The sequence below is a fragment of the Homo sapiens genome, chromosome 2 (assembly GCF_000001405.40).
Source record: "Homo sapiens chromosome 2, GRCh38.p14 Primary Assembly".
Lineage (NCBI taxonomy): Eukaryota > Metazoa > Chordata > Mammalia > Primates > Hominidae > Homo > Homo sapiens.
In genome coordinates, this window is record NC_000002.12 from 177,686,118 (window position 1) to 177,710,626 (window position 24,509).

General features: G+C 39.9%; 1 protein-coding gene and 1 long non-coding RNA gene across 5 annotated transcripts in view; one reads left to right on the forward strand and one right to left on the reverse strand.

Annotated features, from left to right (window-relative positions):
- Positions 1-24,509, reverse strand: part of PDE11A (phosphodiesterase 11A) — a 485,096-nt gene that overhangs the window by 62,874 nt on the left and 397,713 nt on the right. For all 4 annotated transcript variants that reach the window (NM_001077197.2, NM_016953.4, NM_001077358.2 and 1 more), the window contains 2 exons: positions 15,004-15,094; positions 11,215-11,315 (listed from right to left, as the gene is read on the reverse strand). In NM_001077197.2, coding sequence (NP_001070665.1) covers positions 11,215-11,315; positions 15,004-15,094 — 192 coding nt within the window. The remainder of the gene's footprint in view (positions 1-11,214; positions 11,316-15,003; positions 15,095-24,509) is intronic.
- PDE11A-AS1 (PDE11A antisense RNA 1) overlaps positions 1-24,509 on the forward strand; it is a 49,968-nt gene that overhangs the window by 12,796 nt on the left and 12,663 nt on the right. The window contains exons 2-4 of the long non-coding RNA NR_136171.1: positions 12,312-12,454; positions 14,977-15,111; positions 16,371-16,632. This is a non-coding gene — a long non-coding RNA (PDE11A antisense RNA 1). The remainder of the gene's footprint in view (positions 1-12,311; positions 12,455-14,976; positions 15,112-16,370; positions 16,633-24,509) is intronic.

Here is a 24,509-nt window from a genome sequence, read left to right on the forward strand (position 1 = left end):
TGATTCTTCCTTCACAGACAAAAGGATGGCTACTTCGTGATAAGTTCTATTTACTCTGTCGTCCCAAGGTTTGATTATGTTCTTAAGAGAGATTAGGAATCTTTCTGGATAATAGGAATCATGAGGAACTCATCAACTTGTATAATTTTGTCAAGAAAAACATGAGAGGCCAGGTATAGTGGGTCACGCCTGTAATCCCAGTGCTTTGGGGGGCCAAGGGAGGAGGATTGCTCAATCCCAGTAGTTGGAGACCAGCCTTAGCAACAAAGTGGGATTCCGTCTCTAGAAAAAATACAAAAATTAGCTACATGTGGAGGCACACGCCTGTAGTCCCAGCTGCTAGGGAGGCTGAGGTGGGAGGATAGATTGAGCCTGGGAAGTCAAGGCTGCAGTGAGCTGTGATCACACCACTGCACTCCAGCCTGGGCGACAGAGTGAGACGTTGTTTCAAAAAAGAAAAAAAAGGAAAAGAAAGGTGTAGTCACTGGTGGAACCATGTATAACACATCTGGTAATGTATTTGGTCACATATAAAATAGCCAAAGAGATATTTTAAAGTTTAAACCAAAGTACATGTAAATTTTTTTTTTTTTTTTTTTTTTTTTTTTGGAGATGGAGTTTCATTCTTGTTGCCCAGGCTGGAATGCAATGGTGCGATCTTGGCTTACTGCAACCTCTGCCTCCTGGGTTCAAGTGATTCTCCTGCCTCAGCCTCAGCCTCCTGAGTAATTGGGATTACAGGTGCCTGCCACCATGCTCAGCTAATTTTTTTAATTTTTAGTAGAGATGGTGTTTTGCTATGTTGGCCAGGCTGATCTTGAACTCCTGACCTCAGGTAATCCACTCACCTCGGCCTCCCAGAGTGCTGGGATTACAGGCATGAGCCATTGTGCCTGGCCACATTTAAATTTTTTTAAAGTTCCTGAAAAAAATCCTTCTTGAAAGCTCAGGAGATAGAGTTAATCATTTTCACAAGGCTACAAAAAGGATTTTGAAGTGATGATATGGCAAGATCATGTAATAAATTTATTGTGCATATTTAATAAACGTAAAAGGTATAAAAATTACACAGTGGACATACATAGAGTTTCCATCTACCTCCCTGCCTAGAAGTAAGTCTCTGCCAGTCCTGTTGAGGCCCTGTGCACCTCCCAACTGTTGCTTCTGTCTTCTTCCCACTCACCATACAATGACCATTTTCTAAATTGTGTATAAAGCATCATCACATATATCCTTATAATTTTACTAGGCAAATTTTGTATAATATTGCTCTATGTGTTTTAAAAGTTTATACAAATACGGTCATCATAGTGTATGTATTCTCTGGCAACTTGCTTTTTCCATTCAATGCTTGCGAGAGTTACCCATGTTGTTATATATAATTCTAGGCCATTCCTTCATACTGATGTATGCTATTTCCATCTATTATTATACCACTGTCTATTTACCCATTTCCTGGAAGATGAAAATTTATATTTTTCTAATATTTCTTGCTATTACATACAATGCAGCTATGAACCACCTTGTACATGTTTCCTTGTGAATTTGTGTGAGTTCTCTCTCTCTGTGTATATGAATATGTACATGTATATGTAAAATTGCTGGGTCATAGAATGACTTCTTTTCTATGTTTGAATTTTCATTATAGTTATAGACTGGTAGGGCTGTATGGAACTTTTGAGAAAAATCTCCTATTAATTCTCTCATTTTATAGGTGAGGAAACTCAAGGTGAAGGAAGGTGAAGTGACTTGTTCAAGGTCCCAGGGCAGTTACAGAAAGATTTATTGTTGCCAATAAAAATTACTACCGTGGTATTTGCCAGCTGATGATTTTTCCATTTCCACCTTTCCATGTGTGTTAATTGAAATCTTCTATAAGGAAGAACTTTTCCTTCTGGGTAGATTATAAGTCCCCAGCCTCCCGGTTCTGCCCTCTGAGATAATCTTTGTAAACTATGTGTAGCATAAACCTTTGGGCCAGATAGCTTTTCATGTTGTAAGTGTATGGACAGTGGGGCCAGCAGCCCTCATGCTATGTAACAGCATCACAGGCTGCTGTACCAAGGCAATACCAAGTATCAAGGCAGACACAGACAGGGTTCTTTCCATCATCAATAAGGGGGTGCTCCAAAGAAGAGCTGCAGATTGCTTGTGCCAGGTTGGTGGTTCACAGCTCCAGGTGATGTATTTCTGACCTTCTCCCTAGTAATAATCATTACAAAGTAACAATGTGAAATTCACTGTGCTTTTGGGAACAAGTTTGCCTATACAGCTGTTCTGTTAGCATCTAAATGTACATGTGTATATAGATTAAACAGAGTAAACAGCATGAACATATGTGAAACTGTTAGAAACAGGGGCATTTTTAGAAGCATGAGGCTGCTAAAAAGAATATTTGAAAATCCACAAAAATACCCAATACCCGCTGGATCCAGACTTCTTTGTCATGAGGAACTGTATCATTAACTTCTCACGCAGATCATGGGGAACCTTGGTTTTCAAGGACAATGGCAAGTACCTCAGCTAGTGAAAAGCAACTTACTGGAAAATCTCATTTATAATCAGATATGTTTTTATTAGGCTTTCATCCTGCTCGCCTGACATATGTCCCACTCAGAAAAATAGCAGTCTTTAAAAAAGCATCATTTGAACAGAACGGCTAAAATTACCTTCAAAAATAATTCTAAAGATTGGTTACCAGTCACCCATCACCACATTGAAAAACTTTCTGGTTTGTAATTTATCTGCAAGGCATCTTTTATTTGTAAAGTGAGAAATCACCATTTCTGTGAACATTTTAATCATGAAATTTTTTGCAAATTTATGTATCTATACATGTACTTAGGAATATATATTCTTTATCTATTCATCTAACTCCTTTGAATCTACTGAAAGTCCATAAACATTAGGAAGGTTTTACTGCTGAGGTGGCAAATCATCACTGTAACTCTCCTCAATTTCTTTCTTTTTGTTTTTTTATTTGAGATGGAGTTTCACTCTTGTTGCCCAGGCTGGAGTGCAATGGCGTGATCTCGGCTCACCGCAACCTCCTCCTCTCGGGTTCAAGAGATTCTCCTGCCTCAGCCTCCTGAGTAGCTGGGATTACAGGCATGCACCACCACGCCCAGCTAATTTTGTATTTTTAGTAGAGACGGGGTTTCTCCATGTTGGTCAGGCTAGTCTCGAACTCCTGACCTCAGGTGATCCACCTGCCTTGTTCTCCCAAAGTGCTGGGATTACAGGCGTGAGCCACTGTCCCCGGCCTGTAACTCTCCTCAATTTTAACTCCAGAGTTGTCAGGCAGGGGTTGCAGGGTGCACAGATGTGTGGATGCGGTGAGTGGGTGCTTTTGGTCTTCTTACAGCTTGCTCAACAGGCAAATCATACATCTGCAATTAATTGTTACATGCAGATTCTAGAGAGATTTCTGGACTTTCTTTGCATACAAACATTGAAGAGGAATAGAAAATTAATATACAGATGTTAACTCCAGTTATTATGACTAAAGAAAAAAAGTGTTCTATTTAATTTTGAAGTGAACTTTCTCCCTGCTTCAGACTAGCACTGATAATACAAGGGCCTGCCAAGAACCTGAGTGAATGACTTGTTTGATGCTGTGCTTTTGTTGATGGCACAAATAAAACCGGCAAAATGCAGGAAGTAGAGATAAGAATTACTCTAGATGTTGAAAATGGCAGAAGATTAGAGACCACAAGGCCCCAGCAGTCAGTTCATTCAAACCACAATCACCAGGCAAAGAAGCTGTGTAAGCCATGGCTAGAAGGAGCGCACTCCAGCTGCTCCTGCATTCACTTCCACACAGCCCTTCGCTGCTAGATGTTGCTGCCTTCTCTCTTCCCCACTGGGCTCTGAGTCCCTGAAGGTAAGAACCGTGTCCTATCTGCTTGTACATTACCAGCAACTAGCACAGTGCCTGGCACAAAGAAACCATTAAGAAGTGCTATTTGGCTACATTTCTCATTTTTTAGTCAGTTTTGATATCATATGGATGGGGATATGGAATGAGTATATGGAAAAATTCTTTGAAATATGTCAAGAATTACCAAAATATTTCCTCCATCAACCTACTACAGGGGCTGCTGACCTAATGTTATAATAATATATAATTTCAATGAGTTAAGTCATCAGGCTCTGTTAAAATATAATAATGTTTGGGATAGAGTAATGGCTTAAGTTTTGTCAGTCATTAACACCTTATTACTAATCAGTTTACTTTCATCCTTTCCAGTATGGGGTTGGTTGAGCGCAGGCAACTGTGGAAGTTGAGGACACTGAACATAGCTGGCTTTTAATAAACTTTTGTTGAATGATGAATGAATGTTTGCCTAGCAGTAGAAACATTTGTTGAGTTCCCACTGTAATTTTTTTAAATGAATTGTCTAGATATTAATCTAATTTTTAAAAGAATTGGTCAAACTATCACATTGAACAATTTAAAATAGTTTAGTGCATTTTTCTGTCATCATCAGATGCTTTCGAGAAATGCTATTTACTGCATCCCTTTCGAGAGACAAATACAAAGAAACCATCAGACTGGGCATTTTCCATAATTGCTGATGAGTGTAGATCACAAAGAGAGGTGGCAAATTTTCAATTTGAAGATAAGTCTGATTAATTTAGGAAGCCGATCTTAAAAGCATTGAGCACCCAAGTGGATTTATCTGAATTATTGGAAAATTATTTGCTTAAATCATGCTCTGAGGCATTGTGTCATGGAGAACTGATCACAGACAACTTAGTGACTTTGGACAAATTACTCAACCTCTATAAGCCCAGTTTTCCCTATTTATCAGATGGGGCTAACAATATCTACCTTGCACATTGATATGATAATTCAGTATCAAAAAGTTATTTTGAGAACTCATTATGTCAGGCAGTGTGTCAGGTTTTGTGGGTTCCAAGAGTGAGCTAAAGAGTAAGGTGTCTGCATTCATAGAGCTTCCATTTCAGTGCTGATACAGGAAGATACTGTAATGCCTAGAATGGTGCTGGGCATGGAGCAGGCACCTAGAGGATGAGATATAGCGTTATGTAATCACAACCTGTTGAGGATCAGTGCTAAACTGTTTATTGCTACCCAATAGCAACAACCCCTGTGACTGTATTAAAGCTACAGAATTTTCAACCCCTGGTGCACCAACTTAGCTCAACTTCACACAAGAAGCCTCTAATTGCAGTCTTAGCCCCACCAGACTGGGTCCGAGTATCACTGACTTGGAGCCTCCACATCCACCCTGCACTCCCAGTGGTGGGGCCTGGCATTAGCTGAATTGCTAACACTTAGCATGCTAACACAAAGTGTGTTTGGAACTAGCTTTAGACATTTGCATCCTCAAATTTCTGCTGTTTCTAATGCCCAAATGTTTCCTGGATTGGCCCCAGTTTCCCCTTGAGTACTCTTGGACTGCTATATAACTGCAGAGTAACTAAGAACATTTTGGAGTCCAACTACTTGGTTCAAATTCCAGATATACTATTTAATATTGTGAGCAATTTACTGAATCACTCCAAACCTCAGTTTCCTCATGTGTACTGTGGGGTTAATGAGAAAAGAAAAAACAGCTCAGAGCAGTCTGAGCTCCTTGAAGGCCCAGAGAGTAATGAGTATGGGACTTCAGTCACGCTCCCCACTCCCCTAACCCATGCTTGGGGGCCACTGTTGAAAGTCATTTTGTTTCTGACTAGCTACCTCACCCACTATCTTCATGTTCCTAGAATTTGTGATACAAGAGACAATGTAACAAAGCCAATCAATAGCTTATGTTATGTTAATGTAAATTCTTGGTAAACAATGTAGAAAATACCTTTCCTTTCCTTTTGAAAATCCACTTGTAACTGCTGCTAATTGGACTGTATATTTAAGGCAACTTGAATCCATGCTCCGGGGTTGCAGTCCTCAATCTTGGCTCAAATAAACTCTCTACTTATATTAATTTTGCCACAGTTTCTTTCTTTTAGGTTGACATTAATAATAGTACCTATTTTAATAGGACTGCTTTCACTGTTGAATGGCATAATGTATATATAAAGGTCCTAAGTAAGCACTCAAAAAGTATTAGTTGTTGTTTTTATTACTAATAGTGGAAGGTGCATAGGTCATCTTTGTTGATTTACATGCAGATAAATAGTACAGGGCATTTGTATCATCCCTTTGAAGTTATAACATTTGTAATTTTAGATCTCTCTGCCCACTCCAACAAGCATCATCTTTTATGGTGCATGTTTTATTAAGTTTTCTGGCTGAGTGATTCCTTTTTTTATAAGGTACTTTACATTGTCAAAGCTCTTTCATAAAATTAATCTCTTTTCACTGCCACAAGGATCCTAGGAGATTAGAATGGGTGATATGCCTATACCCCTGTTGCTGACAAGGAAACTGAGGCAAAGAGAGATCCGACTCTCAAAGCTGGTGAAATTACTACTTAATTATCAAATCCTTATTCACTGCAGGGACTCAGAAACAGGCACAGAAATCATTTCAGAAAGTTGCTCAGCAGTAACTGGAAAACGTTTTCAGTGAGTTGGAAAATCAGAGTGAATCATTAACCCCCAGGCTCAGGTTGTGAAACTTAGAAATTCACATTAAGGATTTTGTTTGTTTTTGTATTTTAATCTTGTGAATTCTGCTTTCATATGCCATTTGAATGACATAGAATCCCAAGGACACACAAGGTCTTTAGAAATTAAAGTCATAAGTTTTTGTGGATGTTTTGAAAGCCTTTCCACATTTCCATGAATCTCATATATTTTTTTCCTTTTAGAGCATGGCAAGAAATCTTGCCTCTAGGAATGAGTCAGAAACCTGTCTCCAAAAGGCAGGGCTCTACCCTGCCCAGCCTGGCCCTTTCCTAGAGTGACTTTCTCCCTCTAGGGGAGGAAAGCAGTGAGCTTCCTTTTTGGTTTCTTCAACTGTATCATGACTTTTAGGTTGAGTAGTCAGGGCAGAAGAACCAACAATAATCCAGACTTCCAGAAACTAATTGTACGGGGAGCCTAATATCCTCTTGGCTCACCCACCCCTCTCCTGCCATTGCTGCTACACGCAGTGCCTCAGCGGTCCTGCGGATCACATACTTTCTGCCCTGGCACTTCACACATGACTTCATGTGTGAGAACAGGGATGAGACAGCTGCAGGAATGCCCAGTCATCAGGCACACACAACATGGAAGTACATGAGAGTTAACATCCCACAGATCAACATTTGGTTGATGAGGATGGTGGGTGGCGGACAATTTTGAAGTGCGATATATGAGACTTCTCAGATGGTCCCTGCAGGATCAAGACTGGCTGACCATAGTGGAGAACAACAAAGAAATGTGTCCTTCCTTTCACTGGCTTCCCTCCTTCCCCATTTCACTGTCCCAGCCCCTCACTCTTATTCTTGGTGTCATTTCCAAAACTAAACTACCTGAATGCAAGCCTTTATCTCCAACTTTGCTTTGGGAGAGGACACAGGGGCCTCAAGCTAGTGTTTAAACTGATTACAGAACACCTGGAAAGAGTCAACATTATCACATAATATATCCCCAATTAAAATGACAATGATTTCTTGATTCTTCCATTAGAGAGGGAAGCATGGTGATTGAAGAAAAAGCCCTGAAAGAGGAGGTGTGGGTTCCAGTTTTACCAATAATGAGTTATGTGACCTAAGCTACGCTATTTAACCATTTGGACCTCTGTGCCTGATCAGCAAAAAAGGAGATGAATTGGATTGCATCATTTCTAAGATCCTTCCGATTCCACAATTGCACATTTATTAAATAAAAACATCGGGGCGACAGTTTGTAGTAGCTGCTTTCCCTCTCATTATAACTCTAGGGATTGTTCTGGCTAAAAATATGGCAATATTTTAATGCAACTTTAGACAGGCAAGTGAATCAATCCTCTGAAAGTCTAGATTAGAGAATGGGCAGCTATTCAGAACCTCAAAAAACAATAATGCTGATGAAAAGAGAACAAGCCAGCTTCTTTGGGAGTCAGCAAACATTAGCAGGGGCTGCAGCATTAAGATAAGAACAGAGTAATGAGAAAACGAGTTGCAACCAACTTCGTTGACTGCATGCCAGTGGTCACTCAGTGATTCGTCAAATCCCTAACAGAGCTTGATAAATGGACTCTGAGTGTTGATATTTTTTTTTCTCTCTTTAGAAGTTACTTGGAAAGATGGCTTGGGAAAATTCTTCTACTTTGAGGAAAATAACACAAGATCCTGCAAGTGTCAGGGACAGGCAATAAAACATTAAAAGGATACAGACTTTCCATAAATCCCAAATCAAGGAGCATTAATCCAGAAAATAGATGAAAGATCATGATATTTAAGTCAACCAAAGGGCCACAAAACATGCAAAATAAATAGGTTATAAAGCAAATGAGGTTGTAGATGTCACCATTTCTAAGACATGACATAGGTACTGTTATCTCCATTTTATACTTGAAAGAAAGGCTCAGAGAAGTAAATAATTTATCTGATGACACACAGCTAATTAGTGGCAGAGCTGGGATTTTAATTTTTAAGTATATATTTTAAACTAATTAAAATTATATTTATCAAAGTAATACATGAACATAGTTAACAAATCAAATAGTACTAAAAGAGATACAATGAAATATAGCAGTGTTTTCTATTTTGCTGGCTTTTGTCCTTGGCCTGTGTTTCCTAATGCTTTCATTTGATTTTTTTTATTTTGGCTATCATGTTCTTAATTTTTGAAAGTGCCTTCTTTTTCATAGTTGCTCCTACTACTATTTTTAAAAAGCATCCTGTTCTTGTTTCATGGATGCAATATCTTAGCTCTCTGAGAATTCTAACAACAGTTTTTAGTTTTGTTTTCTTCCTCTCCCTGTTTTCTCTGAATTTCATTTTTTTTTTCTGTTTGTTTGGCCTCTGTCTTTCCTATCGGATGCTGAAAAAATGTTCTGTGATTCTTGGTTTTCTGCATGTAATAGTAAGGTATTAAAAAGCTAAATGGGAGTTGTGTGTGGGGGGGGAGGGGTATAATTGCTAGATAAAATAATTTGTTTCCGTTAAAAATAATTATTTTAAAAATATTTTATTGATACATAATATTTATACATATTTATTGGGTACATATGACATTTTGTTACATGCACAGAATGTGCCATGATCAAGTAAGGGTATTTAGGATATCTGTCACCTTGAATATTTATCATTTCTATTTGTTAGGAACATTTCAAGTCCTCTCTTGTAGCTATTCTGAAATATACAAAAAATAATTTTTAGTATAAATATGTCCCAAATGTTTCATGGGACATCTAACTATCTATTCTAAAAAAGTATTTATTGTTTATCTGAAATTTAAATGTAACTGGACTTTCTGTACTTCTACTTGCTAAATCTGACAACCCTGGGTGTATGGCTTATAGACTCCTAGCTTCTAAGTGCTTGGCTATGGCCTACAGGTTTTCAATCCAGAGACTGGTTCCACTTAACTTAATCTCTTCTTCTGAGCACTGTATCTCATTCCCACCCTGTGCCTCTCCTCAGTTCAGAGCTCTTCATTTTATTTCTCCAGAGGATACATTTCTGGCCTTCTAAAGGTAGAATAAGGGGAGTGACCTGGCTGTGTTAGTAGAGGACTTCCTGGGTGCTAAGCATTCTATATACTGATTTTCTAGCAATCTCTTTGAGCTTTTCGTGTCTTAAGCTTTGAACATCCCTTACAATTGAACCTAATTCTAACTGATGCAATGCCACAGTGCTTTTCAAAGGGAGTCATTTCAAAGCGAATGGCACAAGACTTCCTAGAAAAAGTGACAGAAGAGACAGATCTTAAAGGATGGTCAGTCAGGAAGATGGCGAGTGGAGGAACAGGATTCGATGTGGGAATGGTGATACATCAGGGCACAGGGGGCATTACACAGGGTGTTCCAAAGGGTAATGCGTAGACTAGTCTGGTTGACGTAGACCAATCATGTAGGGGAGAAGTGGAAGGTAAGAATGAAAAAAGGTTGGGGGCAGATTATAGAGGGCCTTGAAAGTCAAACCAAGTTTAGAACTTCCTTTGAAAGCAATGTGGACACTGAAGGTTTTTGAGATGGAAGCTGGAGGTCTACAGTGTGAGGAAGTTTGGAGTGAAGAATTTCAGAGTCTTCTACACACAGGTCATAACATAAATATAGGTAACATAGAAATGAGGCCAGGGGAGTGGTCTGAGTAGAGAAAGAAGAACATGTTTCAAGAGCTTATACACAGGAGCAAGGAGAAAAGAAACCTGCCAAGGATCTAGAAAAGAAGAGAGAAAGGCAGCTGGAGATTGGGCAAGCAAGGAGAGTAGAAATTAATAATAACTAACTAAACCTTCAGATATCTCAGAGAAGATGGAAACTATCAAAAATGAGTACAGGCCATTGAATTTGAGGAAAGAAATGTCTCTGGTGACCTCTGAGTGTACAATTTTGATAGAGTGCGGAGATGGACTCTGCTCTTCACGGTGTAAATGGGTGTTAGGAAAATAGAGGTACTAAATGTGCTCTGTTTATTTAAAAAGGTAGACAGTAAAAGAAAGGTAAATAAAAAAGCAATTAAAGATCTCCATGGGGTCAAATGAAAAATTTTTTTAAGGGAGTGACAGGCTTTGGTCTTTAAGATAGGAGAAAATTGTGCAAATGAGTGGTGGAAGAAATTTCCAGGCTGCTAAGAGAGATGGCGCCTGATAGAGCAGGTCCCACTGGAAATGGGAGGGTGCAATTTCCAGCTTAGAGAAAGGCCTGAACTTTGGTGAAAAGGAGAGAAAGCCCTTCTAAGAAAGAGATAGAAAAGAATCAAGGAATGAACTGTTGCATTGCTAGTTAATTTTCCATCACTGAATATTTTTCATCTTCGTTATCAATGCCATTATACAGCTGACCAGAAGTTAACAGTCTTAAATAGCAATATTAGCTAGGATCTAAGATAAAAATGGCCATCACTTAGTTTCAGAGTTGTGTGTCAAACAAGCTCATAAAACAGAAGAAAAATAGAAATCTTGTGACTGTAGTCCTGACTCTCTTGGCTTATACACACCACTTTAATGGACTTCATTTATATCAGAGAGAAACAACAACAAAAAAAGTTTAGCTGGTTTACACATTGATATCAATGCTAGAATAACAGGTAACCTCCAGTGTAGACCTGGAGATTAGTTACAGGATGGAACTTCCATTTGTCAAACAGATCAAATGCCAATACCTACTCAAAGTACAGCGTGAGGTCTGTTGCCAATATTGACTGCTTCAAAAGCTGCATAAGGTCACTATATTCCTTGGAGGACAGGTTAGCAAAGATATTGTGACCCTGTAATGAGAAAGTAAAAAGTCACAAAAGACATTAAATCTGTGGTTGTTGATTACATGTTTTTCCTCTATTTAAAAAAAAGTCTGGGAACATTAAAAAAATCACTTTTTAAAAAGCATAGTGAAATTTTGTATAAATATAAACAGATTCTCTGGCAAACCTAGCAAAGCCAGAATGCAGTCATTTTTGACAAAGTCTAACAAGGGACACTTTGTTACATGCTTAGTCTCAAAGGGAAAATCTGAAATTGTTGGAACTTATCTTACTATGAATATGTTGTGCCCACAATTCCATCTGACTACCCATTTCCTATGGAATTACTTAGAGGAGAAGTTTGTGAAACATTTGGGAACATTTCTCCCCCTAAAATAAATGCTATTTTCACTACCAGTGAAGGTTTAAGCTGGCATTTTGGAAACACTTGCTATGGCAACAAATGACTTTAAGAAGAATAAAAAGCCATTAGAACAGTGGTTCTCAGCTGGGGGCCGTTTTGACAATGGGGAACTTTAGCAAGGTCTAGTGACATTTTTGATTGTCACAAATGGCTAAGGTGCTACTGGCATCTAGCAGTGGAGGCCAGGGATGCTGCTACACATCCCATGATGCACAGGAGACCCCCACAACAAAGATTTACTGGCCCAACACGTCACTGCTGCTGAAGCGGAGGAACCGTGCCTCCCACCATTAAGGTGCACTTTGATGAAGTGTGTGGCAGGCTAAATTCAGTATGGTGAATATGAATAATTCTGAATAGCTAGGATGCATAAGACATCGTTCTTGGCACAGTGGGACTCTAAAATGACGTTTACCTAAGTAAAGTTAGGATGACATCTTTATCCTCATACCTTTGACAGGTACCCTTGTTTTCATCAAAATTTGTGTTAGCTACACTTAGGCTAAAATATTTGTCTTTAGTAAAGTGAAAAATCCTTCTGTAAAGTGACCAACAATTCACTTAGTTTGTTTTTAAAGTCAGGACTTTTCATTTTTTAGGTTTTCTTAGTGTGAAATATGAACTCATGAGCATCTGGCCTGGGAACTGGACCAGTTTTAAATCTCGTGTTGAGAGCCGGAAGATGCTGGAGAAGGAATGTGGTGGAATGACTGCCTGAGAATGAACCATTCTCCAGTGAGAGGTAAATTAATTATTTCAGGGAACTAGGATATCAACTAGCAAATTACGTCTTACCAGGCACCAGATGATTATCTGTTTCCCCAAGTTAATTTATTTCATTGGGTGAACCCGCCACTCCTTAAAGACTAGAGTATATTGGTTCTACCTGGGACCAGGTCCAATATTAATAATAATTTTCAAATGAGCTCTTCAGACCCTTAATTCAGCTGTTAAGAAGAAGACAAATAACGAAAGGAATGCTGCACCATAATTCTGCCCAGGTTTTTTTGCCTGTGCATTACCCAATGATCAATCACAGGCAGGTGTTCTGGGGCCAGAGAAAAAGTGGTAGGAAGCTATGGAAAAGCAGTCACCTGGGTCCAGCGATGCACCCAGAATCTCCCAAAGAAACACAGCATTTAAGAGCAAGTTACAGTAAAAGTTAACATTGAGATATGAAGAAATCTGGTCTGAATTTGAGGATGTGGATTATTTTATGAGGATGTGTGTTTTATTACAGTCATGCATCACATAACAGGAGGGTACATTCCAAGAAATACATTGTTAGGTGATCTCCTCATTGTGTGAACATCACAGAAAGCACTTACACAAAACTAGATGATACAGCCTACTGCATACCTAGGCTATATGGGATAGCCTATTGCTTCTAGGCTATACATCCATACATCATATTACTGTCTGTAACACTGTGAGCAACTGTAACGCAATGGTTGGTATTTGTATATCTAAACCTATTTAAACATAGAAAAGGTACAGTAAAAATATGGCATTATAATCTTATGGGACCACCGTCGCACCAATGTGGTCTCTTGTTGATCAAAACATGTTGCATGTGACTGTACTTTGAAGGATATATAATCACTAATGCTATTTACAGCTAAGAGTGACAGTGCTAGCCAGAAAAAGTTAATTTGCAATCAGTTTATTGTTTATATGCAAATTAGTCTTCTATTTTCACGTTATGTGCCTTAACGTTTTGGTCCCTGAAGTAGATTTGAGTCTCCCTGAAATACTGCATCTACTCTTTGTTTAGGGAGGTGGTGAGTGTGGTGTTAATGGAAAGACATGCAGATCTGGAGGAAGAAAGGTCTGGGCAAACTTCCTCAAGCTATCTAACTTCTCTGCACCAGAGCTCATTTGGAAAGTGGAACAATAATAGCACCTGCATTTCTGCCTTTCTGATGGGCAGGACCACAGGGGACTGGAGGCAGTGCTGGGACAGTGCATGGTTCCGTCATTGATAGTCTCTGTTCTTCATAGGGAACCCCAGAGTGAAGGACGGCCAATGTGTTTTGTTTGCATGAACACAAATTCTGAGTGAGTGGGGTTTGTTTCCCTGAGGAAACCTGACATCCTGTTTATAATACTTGTTATTACAAAGGTGGTGGTTTGTCAGAGGTGTATACTCATCACCTTTACCAACACAGAAAAGATAGTTTGAACCAAAGTTCTTCCATAGTTCTCAGCTAAGACACTGTTTTTGGAGGGCAATTCCACAGCCACAGAGGCCAGGATGCTGGCTTCTGCCAGTTACTGAGAGCCTAACTCTTGGTGTTTAATTCCCAACTGAAAATACATCATTCCCAGCAGGTTTTCCCTTTCGCAGTCTGCATTCAGGTTCTGGAGTGCCAACTCTCCTTTATGGGGTCGAAGGCCTCCATGATATTGCAAAAGACATGCTTTCTCAAGATAGGCTGGAGGTAAAAAACCTCCATATTTAATGATGCTATTCTAGTGAAGCAGGGCCTTAATGATGATAATAATAATAATAATTAATGGCACAGCTAGAGAACTGACAAATAATGGGGAACAGATGATCCCTTCCTGGCCTCAAAAAAAAAAAAAAAAGTCTGTACGCTTGCAGAAAATGAAACAGATCCTTTCCTGGCAATTTAAAACTCAGATGCCGCAGCCAGACTCAGTTAGTGGTTTCTGTTTTTCTCTGTGGAGAGCTAAAAGTATAAAATTCCAACTACTTCTAACTCCTGCATTGCCACATGAAGCAAAATCAGGCATATGGCATTAGCTCTGGGTCTTAAGTTTAGCTGCAGTTCTCACTTCCTAACTGGTCCCACCAGCAATTTTAAGTTCTTTTAAGTTGTATAGTTTCTCAATTGTGCTAATGAAGTGTAACTTTCTCACTCTGTTTTTGCTTCTACCATCTTTTAAAATGACTGAGAGTTTTACCAAATGGGAATGTTGGGCCGCTCATTATTTGGATCAAGTTGTTCCCTTAGTGCTCTGTATCCTTTGAGGAAGGTCAGGTCATGCTCTGGTGACAAGCAGTCTATATCTGTTACCCTGCTAAGTGAATCTGAAAAGCCTCCTAACCAATAATGAAATCCAAGTAAATCAGCTCAGGAAGACTCTGCAAGGTCCTGCTCAGGCATCTATAGGAACAGAAAAAGCTACTAAGGCCCATTAAGTTGACTTAGAAATGGTTTTCCCACTGCTTTGTGTCTACCTGTGGCACCACAAAGGAAGAGAGGGAGGAAACAAAGAGTTGTTTTGGTTTCTGTTAAGGGGAGAAGCAGAACATCAGGCCTGTACCTCACTTTGAAGGATCATCACGGCGTGGTTGAAATGGTGATGCTCCAAGGTAGCAGAGGTTCCATAGAGTTGGGCCAGGGCAGAGCCACTCCTGAAAGAGGACAGAGGGTGAGTGAGCAGGGCCTATCGATGGTTCCCCCACACCAGCTTTTTGGATCAAACTGCTTTTCTTGCTTTTGGCAAAGGACCATGAGCAGACACATCCTTAGGTAACTGCTTTTGTAGTCCATTCATCTATGAAATAAATCGTTCAGGAACTTTCTATATATAAGAAAGTTCCTAATACATAGAACTTTCTATGTATTAGGCTAGATGCTGCAAATGATATTTGATGAATTTGACACAGTCTCTGCCCCTAAGAAATTTACAGACTAGTAAGAAAGATGAGATGAGATAACAAGGAAAAATAATGCACATAAAAACAATGCAAATACTAATCACTGTAGAAATGTGTTCCAGGTCCAATCGAAGTGCTATGGACGTTCTGAGGAAAAAAAGACATAATTTCTGGCTCCGGGGATCAGGGAAGCTTCATGAACTAAACCTTCTGTGACTTCTGAGTGTTCAGAACAACTGTCTTATACAAAACGTATTTGACCTTCCATAGGAGAAGACCTTGTGAATATTCTGCAGAGTGCATTTTATCTACTCTACATGAAAGGCTGACAGCCTTCTACTACAGCTTTCCAGTCCATAGTCACACTGTGATATCTCAGTGTGGAACTCTGAAAAGTTCTCTGGATTTGGAGGGAAATCTCAGCTCTTCCTCCAAGTAGTAGCTTTGGACGGTTACTTGGCCTTTTTAAGACTCAGTTTCTTTGTCTCTAAGATTATATTATCTACCTAACCTGTTATTTATGAGAACAATAAAATATTTGAAAATGCCTATTACAGTTCCCAGCATGTAGTAGATTGTAGTCTGTATTAATTATTAATCAATAATTGAAACACATATGACTATTTCCATTTTAAATTAGTTAAATACTCATTGATACTTAAAGGGATTACTTTGAGTTATCTGTAAATTTCATTTATGTAGAACAACCCATTCCTTAACAATGTCAGTTCTGCAAAGCGTTCATTACTTGGGAGTCTGAGGCAGGAGAATCACTCGAAACTGGGAAGCAGAGGTTGCAGTGAGCTGAGACCATGCCATTGCACCCCAGCCTGGGCGACAGAGTGAGACTCCGTCTCAAAAAAAAAAAAAAAGTTCAAAAAGGTTCGTGTCCAACTCTGTTTAAGAAATGGGAGTTAGAGCATCTTAAGAATCAAGAGACATCCCAGAGAAGCCCACAGTGTAAACGGCAGCCATGGGACTCAGGATAAGGATCCATCTAGATCATTTTGTTCTTTCTTGCTTATTGCAGGGGGCTTCGATATTGAAAGGGCAATTTGGCCTTAACTTGGAAATGCTGGAGATTGATTGCATACAATCTGTCCTGCTAGTGAGAGAAGCAAGGACTGCATCTAAGTGCAACATGAAGACTTTTGGTCCCAAGCTTTCCTCCAACTTCAGTGGGAGGCAGCCCAAAACCACCGTCGGTTCAAGAATACAAGTGACCTGCAATTCTTGGAAAGACTCCCCCAATTCTTCTCCCAATATGTGGTCAGCTTTTCCAGCAGGATTAGGTTCGGTAGGAATTATTGAATATAATATAATATAATGTAAAATATCGGAATTATTTTTCTTAGGTGCTTAGTAAGGAGGGTATTAGATTTTAATCATATATGTGTTATTTCTTTAAATCTTGCCTTAATTTATATTATTTAATAAGTGAAGATTTGCTAGGCGAATCTTAGTGATAAATTAATACTTAATGTTAGTTACTATTTGTCTTACATAGAGTTCATTTCTATGAAGACACGTGTTTCAAAACGTATACTATATGCCTTTGTCTTGGCTGTTGAAATTCTGTGATGCTTTATATGCATATCACATCCTAGAGCCTGGCATAGAGTAAGTGCTTTAAAAAATATTGGTTGCTTGTCTAATAAGCTTACAGTAGTTACTATGTCGAGAGATTACAGTTCAAGTTGGGAGGTTGATAATAAGTGTGTTAGCATATTTTATAATACTAATATTATTATTAATAAAGCTACCATTAGTATCTACCATGCGGTAGTCTATATATTAACAACTTAATACATTATAGCATTTAGTCCTGACAATGACCATGATATAAGTATTATTTTCTCATTTACACATGAGGAAAACAGGGCTCAGAGAAGTTAAGTAACTTTTCCAAGGTCACACAGCTAGCTTGTACCAGTTCCAGATTTGAATCCAAGTTTTTAAGCTTCTTGTTACATAATGAAAATGATAATTATAACATACATTTCTGACATTTGATTCTCCATTTTTACTAAGCTGATTGTTATCAATGAAAGAAGATTTCAAAATCTAATTCAGAATTCTATTAGTATCATTGCTAACCACAGGCTGATTCCTGTGATCATTCCTATGAATCAGCCATGCTCACATGCACCTCACTTACTAGTGTGAATCTTTTGTATCTAGTCAAGATACAAAATGTTATCTCTTCCCTTATTCATGTTGGGTTAACAGACTCCACAAAAGCTGCATCAGCTAGATGATCAGAAGTCACTCTGTATCTTCTTTGTTTTGGTGAATAAGGAATGTTTTCTCCTTTAAGGGAGTGGGGATGGGGACGATAACAACAGCTTTTAACAAATACACCATGGCTTCTGAGGCACTGCTCCTTCCTGTGCGTAGGATGGAGGCCTCTCTCCCATATCCATATGTCTCCGATCTGGTGTGTTCTATCTCCCAGTATTTGTGCAAAGGCAGCCACTGTCTATGGTTTGACCATCTTCCTCGTCAGATTCCCTCTTTGTTCTCTTTTGTAATTCCATCTTACTTTCTGCCCAGCCTCACACAATACTGATTCAATCACAGAAAATAGGTAGATTTTGCCACTGAACCAGACTAATGCCATGAAAGTGTGGGGAGACTTTGTTATTCATTCATTCATCTATCATTCATTCAACCAATAAGCATTGATAACTATTATGTCAGGCCCCAGGCATGTGGAATACAAAGAGAAATAAGACATGTTCTGACCTTCAGGAAGCTCACAATCCCCTATAATTGTGTCAGGAATTTTTCTCTGATCAACCTTGCACTAAAAATGCTCACTTTTCTGCAAACAAGGTGCCATCTTAGCCCTCAGAGAATGGAGCATGGTACTAACTCAACTTTGAGGGGTTTTTTTAAAGTAAAACCATCTAAGCAAGAATACTTCCATTTCCAAATGGATCCCTTATTTACACTATTAGATTTGGCCCCTGGCAGATTTTCTAGACTGCCAAAGCCCTCAGTGCCTTTTGTCTCAGGCCAAGGCCCATTAGGAATGCTGCCTGTATCTGCTGTTACACACTGGGAACTTCCTGGGACCACCAAGAGCCAAGTCTACAGTCTTGATATAAGTGGCAAAAAAAATAAATAAATAAAACATATCTGTGAAGATAAGCTTTATCAAAAAGTATTCTACAGAATACTAGTTCTTCTGAATGTTAAATGGCATTAAGAGAAGAAGTAAAAAGGGTTCCGTGGCCAAATAAGTTTGGAAAATGCTGGCTTTAAAAAGTGAATCTGTTTATTTATGGTAAGGATTTTCCAGAGGCGGCAATATGTGAAAATGCATTGTGATTTTGTGGGAGGGGAACATAACAAGCAGCATTATCTACTTTTAATTGATTGTGAAACCTCTTTTTTTTTGAGACGGAATCTCGCCTGTCACCCAGGCTGGAGTGCAATGGCGCGATGTTGGCTTACTGCAACCTCCACCTCCTGGGTTCAAGCGACTCTCTTGCCTCAGCCTCCCAAGTAGCTGGGATTACAGACATGCACCACCACGCTTAGCTAATTTTTTGTATCTTTAGTAAAGGCAAAGTTTCACCATGTTGGCCAGGCTGGTCTCGAACTCCTGACCTTGTGATCTGCCCGCCTCGGCCTCCCAAAGTGATGGGATTATAGGCATGAGCCACTGTGCCTGGCTGATTGTAAAACCATTTTTAAAGAGGTCATGTCTCTCACATAATACACTTCCACTTATAAAGGTATGCTTCTACTTTCTCACATAAAATATGAAAAAAAAACCCTGAGATCAATCACATATGGAAAAAATTGACTTTAACAGCACACCTCATTTTAATTGTTTGTGCTAAGTATATCCATCATATAAGTGTCTTTGGGGCACACATCCTTTAGTTGTGAAAATATGATTATATATACATAGGGTGTATGGAGAGAGGAAGAGAAGAGAATCCAAATTCCATAAGTACAAATACCTTTATACATGTAAGTATTCATGATGTGCATTATTGATGGTAGGTCATCTTAACATACTAAAGCTTTTCATTTTGGATAGGCAGCTCAATGAGGAGAAACTTATTAAAAAGAAAAGTCAAGGTGGAAATTTCCCTATAGGCATTTGGCACTTTGCACAGGCACCAAAAATGTGTGCAAATGTAAATGTACCTTCATAACTTCCCTAGATATGCATATTCTTTGAAAAAGAGACTGAATGGCAGTGTGCAGCTGTGACTTAAAGGAAACTTTAAAAAGGAAAACTATGAAAGGTAATTAGGAAATTGAGAGTTGTTGGGAGATGGTGAGGAATGGGATTAGGCTGTCATGGCAGATTAATGTGCCCCAGTATTTCACTTCTGGGACCTGGCCGAAAGCGACAAGATGGGTTTTCATTCCCAAGAAATGAGTATAAGAGATTATGCTAGAAATGAATAGAAGAAGTCTCCTAGGAGAATATACTACAAAGCTGCTTGGTACTGATATTTAATCATCAGGGGCAGCTGTAATAGAGAGAAGGATGAGTGGGGAACGCTGTCCCTAGAGAAAACAGGGGAGAGGTGTGAACAGAGCAATTTCAAAGCACTGTGGTATTGCTGCCCTCTCTACCTATTGATCATTCATTGTATGCACTCCAATACTTAAAAATTAAGAACAAAATATGAAAATGCGAAGGATCACTTGTCAGAAAGGCTAAGAGAATAAATCAAATTGTGCTCTAACGAAAGCCACACTTTTTATTGTAGAGGCATTTTGCATTTTATATAGTAATTTGTCCCTTGCTAAATGTCTCCTGTTTTTTTATAGCCTTATATATGAAAAAAAGGTAGCATATACTTTGCTGCATAATAATTGGTGCATTTAAATCCCATTTTCAAATCACTTCAAAGACTAGAATTCGACTGGGAGCACTTTAAGAGAAGGGATGTTTGCTATATCTCTTTATTTCTCCCACAATTCCTAGCACAGCATCTTGAATATAGAAAATACTCACTTACTGGGAAATAAAAAACAAGAAAAGAAGATAGGTTTCTTGCAAGGGATTTTCTCAACAATGGCACACTCACTGAATAAATCTCATTCTAATCAATAAAAAGGTAGTTCCTTGACCATGATGCTAAAAAGCCTCTTTCAGCATTCATCGTCAAGGGAAATCTTAACGGAGGTTGGGTAATGGTGGCATTAAGTGTCCTAAGTGCAAAAATGACTCCATAAGGTAGGTGCAGTGCCCCTGACATCCCATGAGCTGATAAACTGCGTACAAAGTTAATTGTCTTGAGAAAAACGCATCACACTACCTTGGAATAGGCAGATTTGATCATGTGATGTGAGGATGCAAAAAAACTCTCTGAAATCTAGTACTAGTGACTCAATACCTACCTCATATGTGTGAATGTTGTTCAGTCTTATACAAGCAACCTGAGATTTGGGGACCTCGGTTTTTGTTTTTTTTTGTAAAATTGAGGAAGTGTAAAACATAGCTAGTAAGGTTTACTTTGGTTTTATAATTTTTATGGCTTCATGTCTTTGAACTGTTGGATGTCAAAATATATTTTAGTTCAAGAGCTCACATATCTGGAAAGGCAGCCAATAAACTGGAAGCTCAACAACTCAAAATAGATGTCACAAAGTCATGGACCAGAGTGTGATACAGTGGTTAAAGAATGGCTTCTGAAAACAGACAGCCCTGGTCCAGGCTCCAGTCTACCACATGAATGGATTTGGGCAAGTTTACTTACCTTCCTGAGGCTCAGTTCCTCCTGTAAAATGGAGACAAGAATATCAACTCTAAAGAGTTGATGTTGGTAAGGGCTTAAGACACAGTAAACAATAAATAAACTGTAGTTCTTCTCATTGTCTCAGGAAGTGTTAGTTGCAAAGAACAGAAGTGGAGTACAACCAGCTTCACTAAAAGGAAGGCTGATTGAATGATACCAGGAACTCTGAAGTAGCCCAATTTTCACAAGCATGGCTGGGTCTCCTAGAAATAGGAACAAGGATGGAGAGAGCCAGGCATCAAGCCTGTCTTTTTTCTGTCTTTCTCTCAGGTTACACAGTCTCTCCGTTCTGCTTCTCTTTGAATATCAGCTCCATCCTTCTCTCCTCTTTGTAGACTGGTTTTCTTGTTTTTTTCATCCGCTTGGTATGTGGTCATCATAGCTTTTCCCAAATGGCAGCCTCAGCTCCCAAATCTGCATGAGCCTGCAGCTTGGATCCCTGCAGCTAACTGTCTTAATATCACGGTAATCCAACTCCAAATTCCTGTGAGATAAAATCCGATCGGTCCAGCTTTGATTAGGTGTGCACTGTTGGTCCCAACAGCTGAGGGATCAACTAGCAAGAAGAGCAGCCTCTGTCAGCGCCATACACCAGCTCTCTCTCTGGGGAGGGGCCATTGGTATCTGAGTATAAGTATTGGGCACTTCACTCTTGAAAGTACTGAAAAGGCTCTGACTCTTGTTTTACAGACACAATTCTAACACAGTTATCCCATCTTTCTGCATAAGTGGTAGAGTGGTAGGGGGCTGGAGAGAGCATGCTAGAGGGAGATACAGTGATGATGATACCATTGGCCTGGGGGAGAGAGGAATCCTAAAAAAGTAATGCAGTGCAGACACAAGAACTCCAAACAAGGAGCAATCGGACCCTACAATGAAAGCATACACAACGTACACAATGGGCTCCAGCTGTTTAGTGCAGCATCAAGACAATGTATAAAACAATGTTTCATTGCAGCTCTATTCACAATAGCAAAGACATGGAATCCTAAATGCCCATCAATGACATTTGATTGAATTTTAAAAAATGTGGTATATATACACCCTGGAACACTATGGAACACTATGCACCCATAAAAAAGAATGAGGTCATGTCTTTTGCAGGAACATGGACAGAACTGAAGGCTATTATCCTTAGCAAACTAATGCAGGAACAGAAAACCAAACGCTACATGTTCTCAATTACAAGTGGGAGCTAAATGATGAGAACTTATGAACACAAAGAAGAAAACAATAGATACTGGGGTCTGTTTGAGGCAGGAGGGAGAAGAGCAGAAAAGGTAACTATCAGGTACTGGGCTTAATACCTGGGTAATGAAATAATATATATTTAACAAACCCCCGTTACACATGGTTACCTATGTAACAAACCTTCACATGTACCCCCAAACCTAAAATAAAAGTTAAAAACAAACAAGCAATGTTTTATAATAATTTATAAGAGGTTGCATCTGTTAAAGAAATCAGGAAACTTTGTTAAAGTGCTGTAGTTAAAGATATCTCATCCACTCATGCAGTTATCCTTTGTTCATTCACCAAACATTTATTGTTTATTATGCTCCCCCAAGTACTGTCCATGCACTGTTGTACATGCCAAATAAGAAGGGAAGACACATCTGCAAGTCAGCAATTAAAATGGCATGAAGTGCACACTTTGGAAAAGGCACAACCAGGGCATAGGAAATTGACCATGGGGGTACATTAGGGTGGATAGAAACACGAAGGTGATGCTTTCAGAGGAGTTTTGGGGAAAGAAGGAGAGAAGGGCATGCCAGGCAGGGGAAACAGCATATTGGGCAGCAGAGAGATGTGACTGAGCAGGACCCCACCAGTGCTTCTTGGAGTCCCTGTGTCTGGAACATAGATGCATGAGTAGGGTGAGCTGCGGCGAGTGGGCACTGGGCCAGGGAAATGGGCAGGAGTCCGAATGAAAAGGGCCCGAAGGGGCTAAGCTAAGGAACTGGAACACTATTCTAAAAGCCACAGGAGATGTGGATGGCTTTTAAGCAGGGGAGTGACCTGGTCAGCTTTGTGAATTAGAAAGATTATTCTGGAGTGCCAAGCAGCCTCGGGAGGAGAGTCGTGCTGTTCGTTGTAGCAAACCAGGAGTCATGCCAAGAAGCAGTCCTTGCTGTAAGCATGCAGAGGAGGCACTGGCTTTGAGGGGAGCTGCAGGGTAGGCTGGGTGACTGGCGCATTTTTGGTGGGGCCATTCCTTGGGGTAGAGAATACAAGAAAGAGGCATGGAGGGAAAGACTGAGGTTGAGGGGACTGTAGGACTTTGAAGAGGAGGTCTTCCTCAAGCAATGGAATAAGTGCCTGGAGATAAGCTGGGAATTATGGTTCAAAGAAATGTATTCAGGGCTCATCAGCAGATGGCTGGTGGCCCTGCCTGAAGGATCGTGAAGAGTGAGAGAGGAAGAGGGAGGGCATCATCAGTGAAGGCTGGGGCAGAGGGACAGAGGCCTGAAACCAACGGAGATTCAAGGTTGTACAGGTGGATGAAAACCCTTTGTCTGTGAGATAAAGGAAGAGAGAGTTTCAGGAAGGAGGGAGCGACAAAGTATATCTCATGGCAAGAGGTATTATGAAAGAAGGACAACGAAAAGGTCCGACAGCTTTGAGAAAAGGGGGCCACGGGTGTCATTCCTGAGGTGGTTTCTCCAATGATTGGAACCGGAAGCCATGTGGGAGGACAGGGGTTGGGAGAAGGGAAGGAAGTGAACCCAGACAGCTTTCCATGAAGCTTGACTGGGAAGGAAAGAAGGAAATAGAACTGAAGCTGGAGAGTGAAGTGGGGATTAGGGTAGGCTTTTTTCAAGATGCGGGGGAGCTGTTTCTATTAATAGGATGCAGACAGCCAGCAGAAAGGGACAGCAGATACAGGAGGGAGAGGAAGATTGATGGCACAAAGTCCCAGAGGAGAAGCAAGGAAGGGTCCAAGGCAGAGGTGGAGGGATTAGCCTCGGACGAGGGAAGGACAGCCCTCTTACCGAGATAGGAGGGAAGGAGGGAAGGATGGGGATGGACAGATAAGTTTGTAGGTGGCAGGGGAGGAAATTGAGAGAATTCTCGATTGATGGCCTCAATTTTCTCCGTGAAGTAGGAGGCAAGGTGATCTGCTGAGTGGTGCGGGGGAGGCGGGGGAGCAGGAGGTGGTTTTGGAAGACACAAGTTTGGTATATGAAACTGCTAAGAGCAATGGGGAATGGGGCTGGCTAGGGACACAGAAAGACTGGCAGCGAGTTCTAGCGTCCAGCCAAGTGGGAGGAATATATATTTGGTATGTCTCTAACTCTCACAACTGTGACATTTTCTCCTAAAGCTTTTATAAGTCTAGGCAGAGTAGCAAGAGACTGAATTGTTAGACTGAACCAGGACTGAGTTTCTGCAGAGTG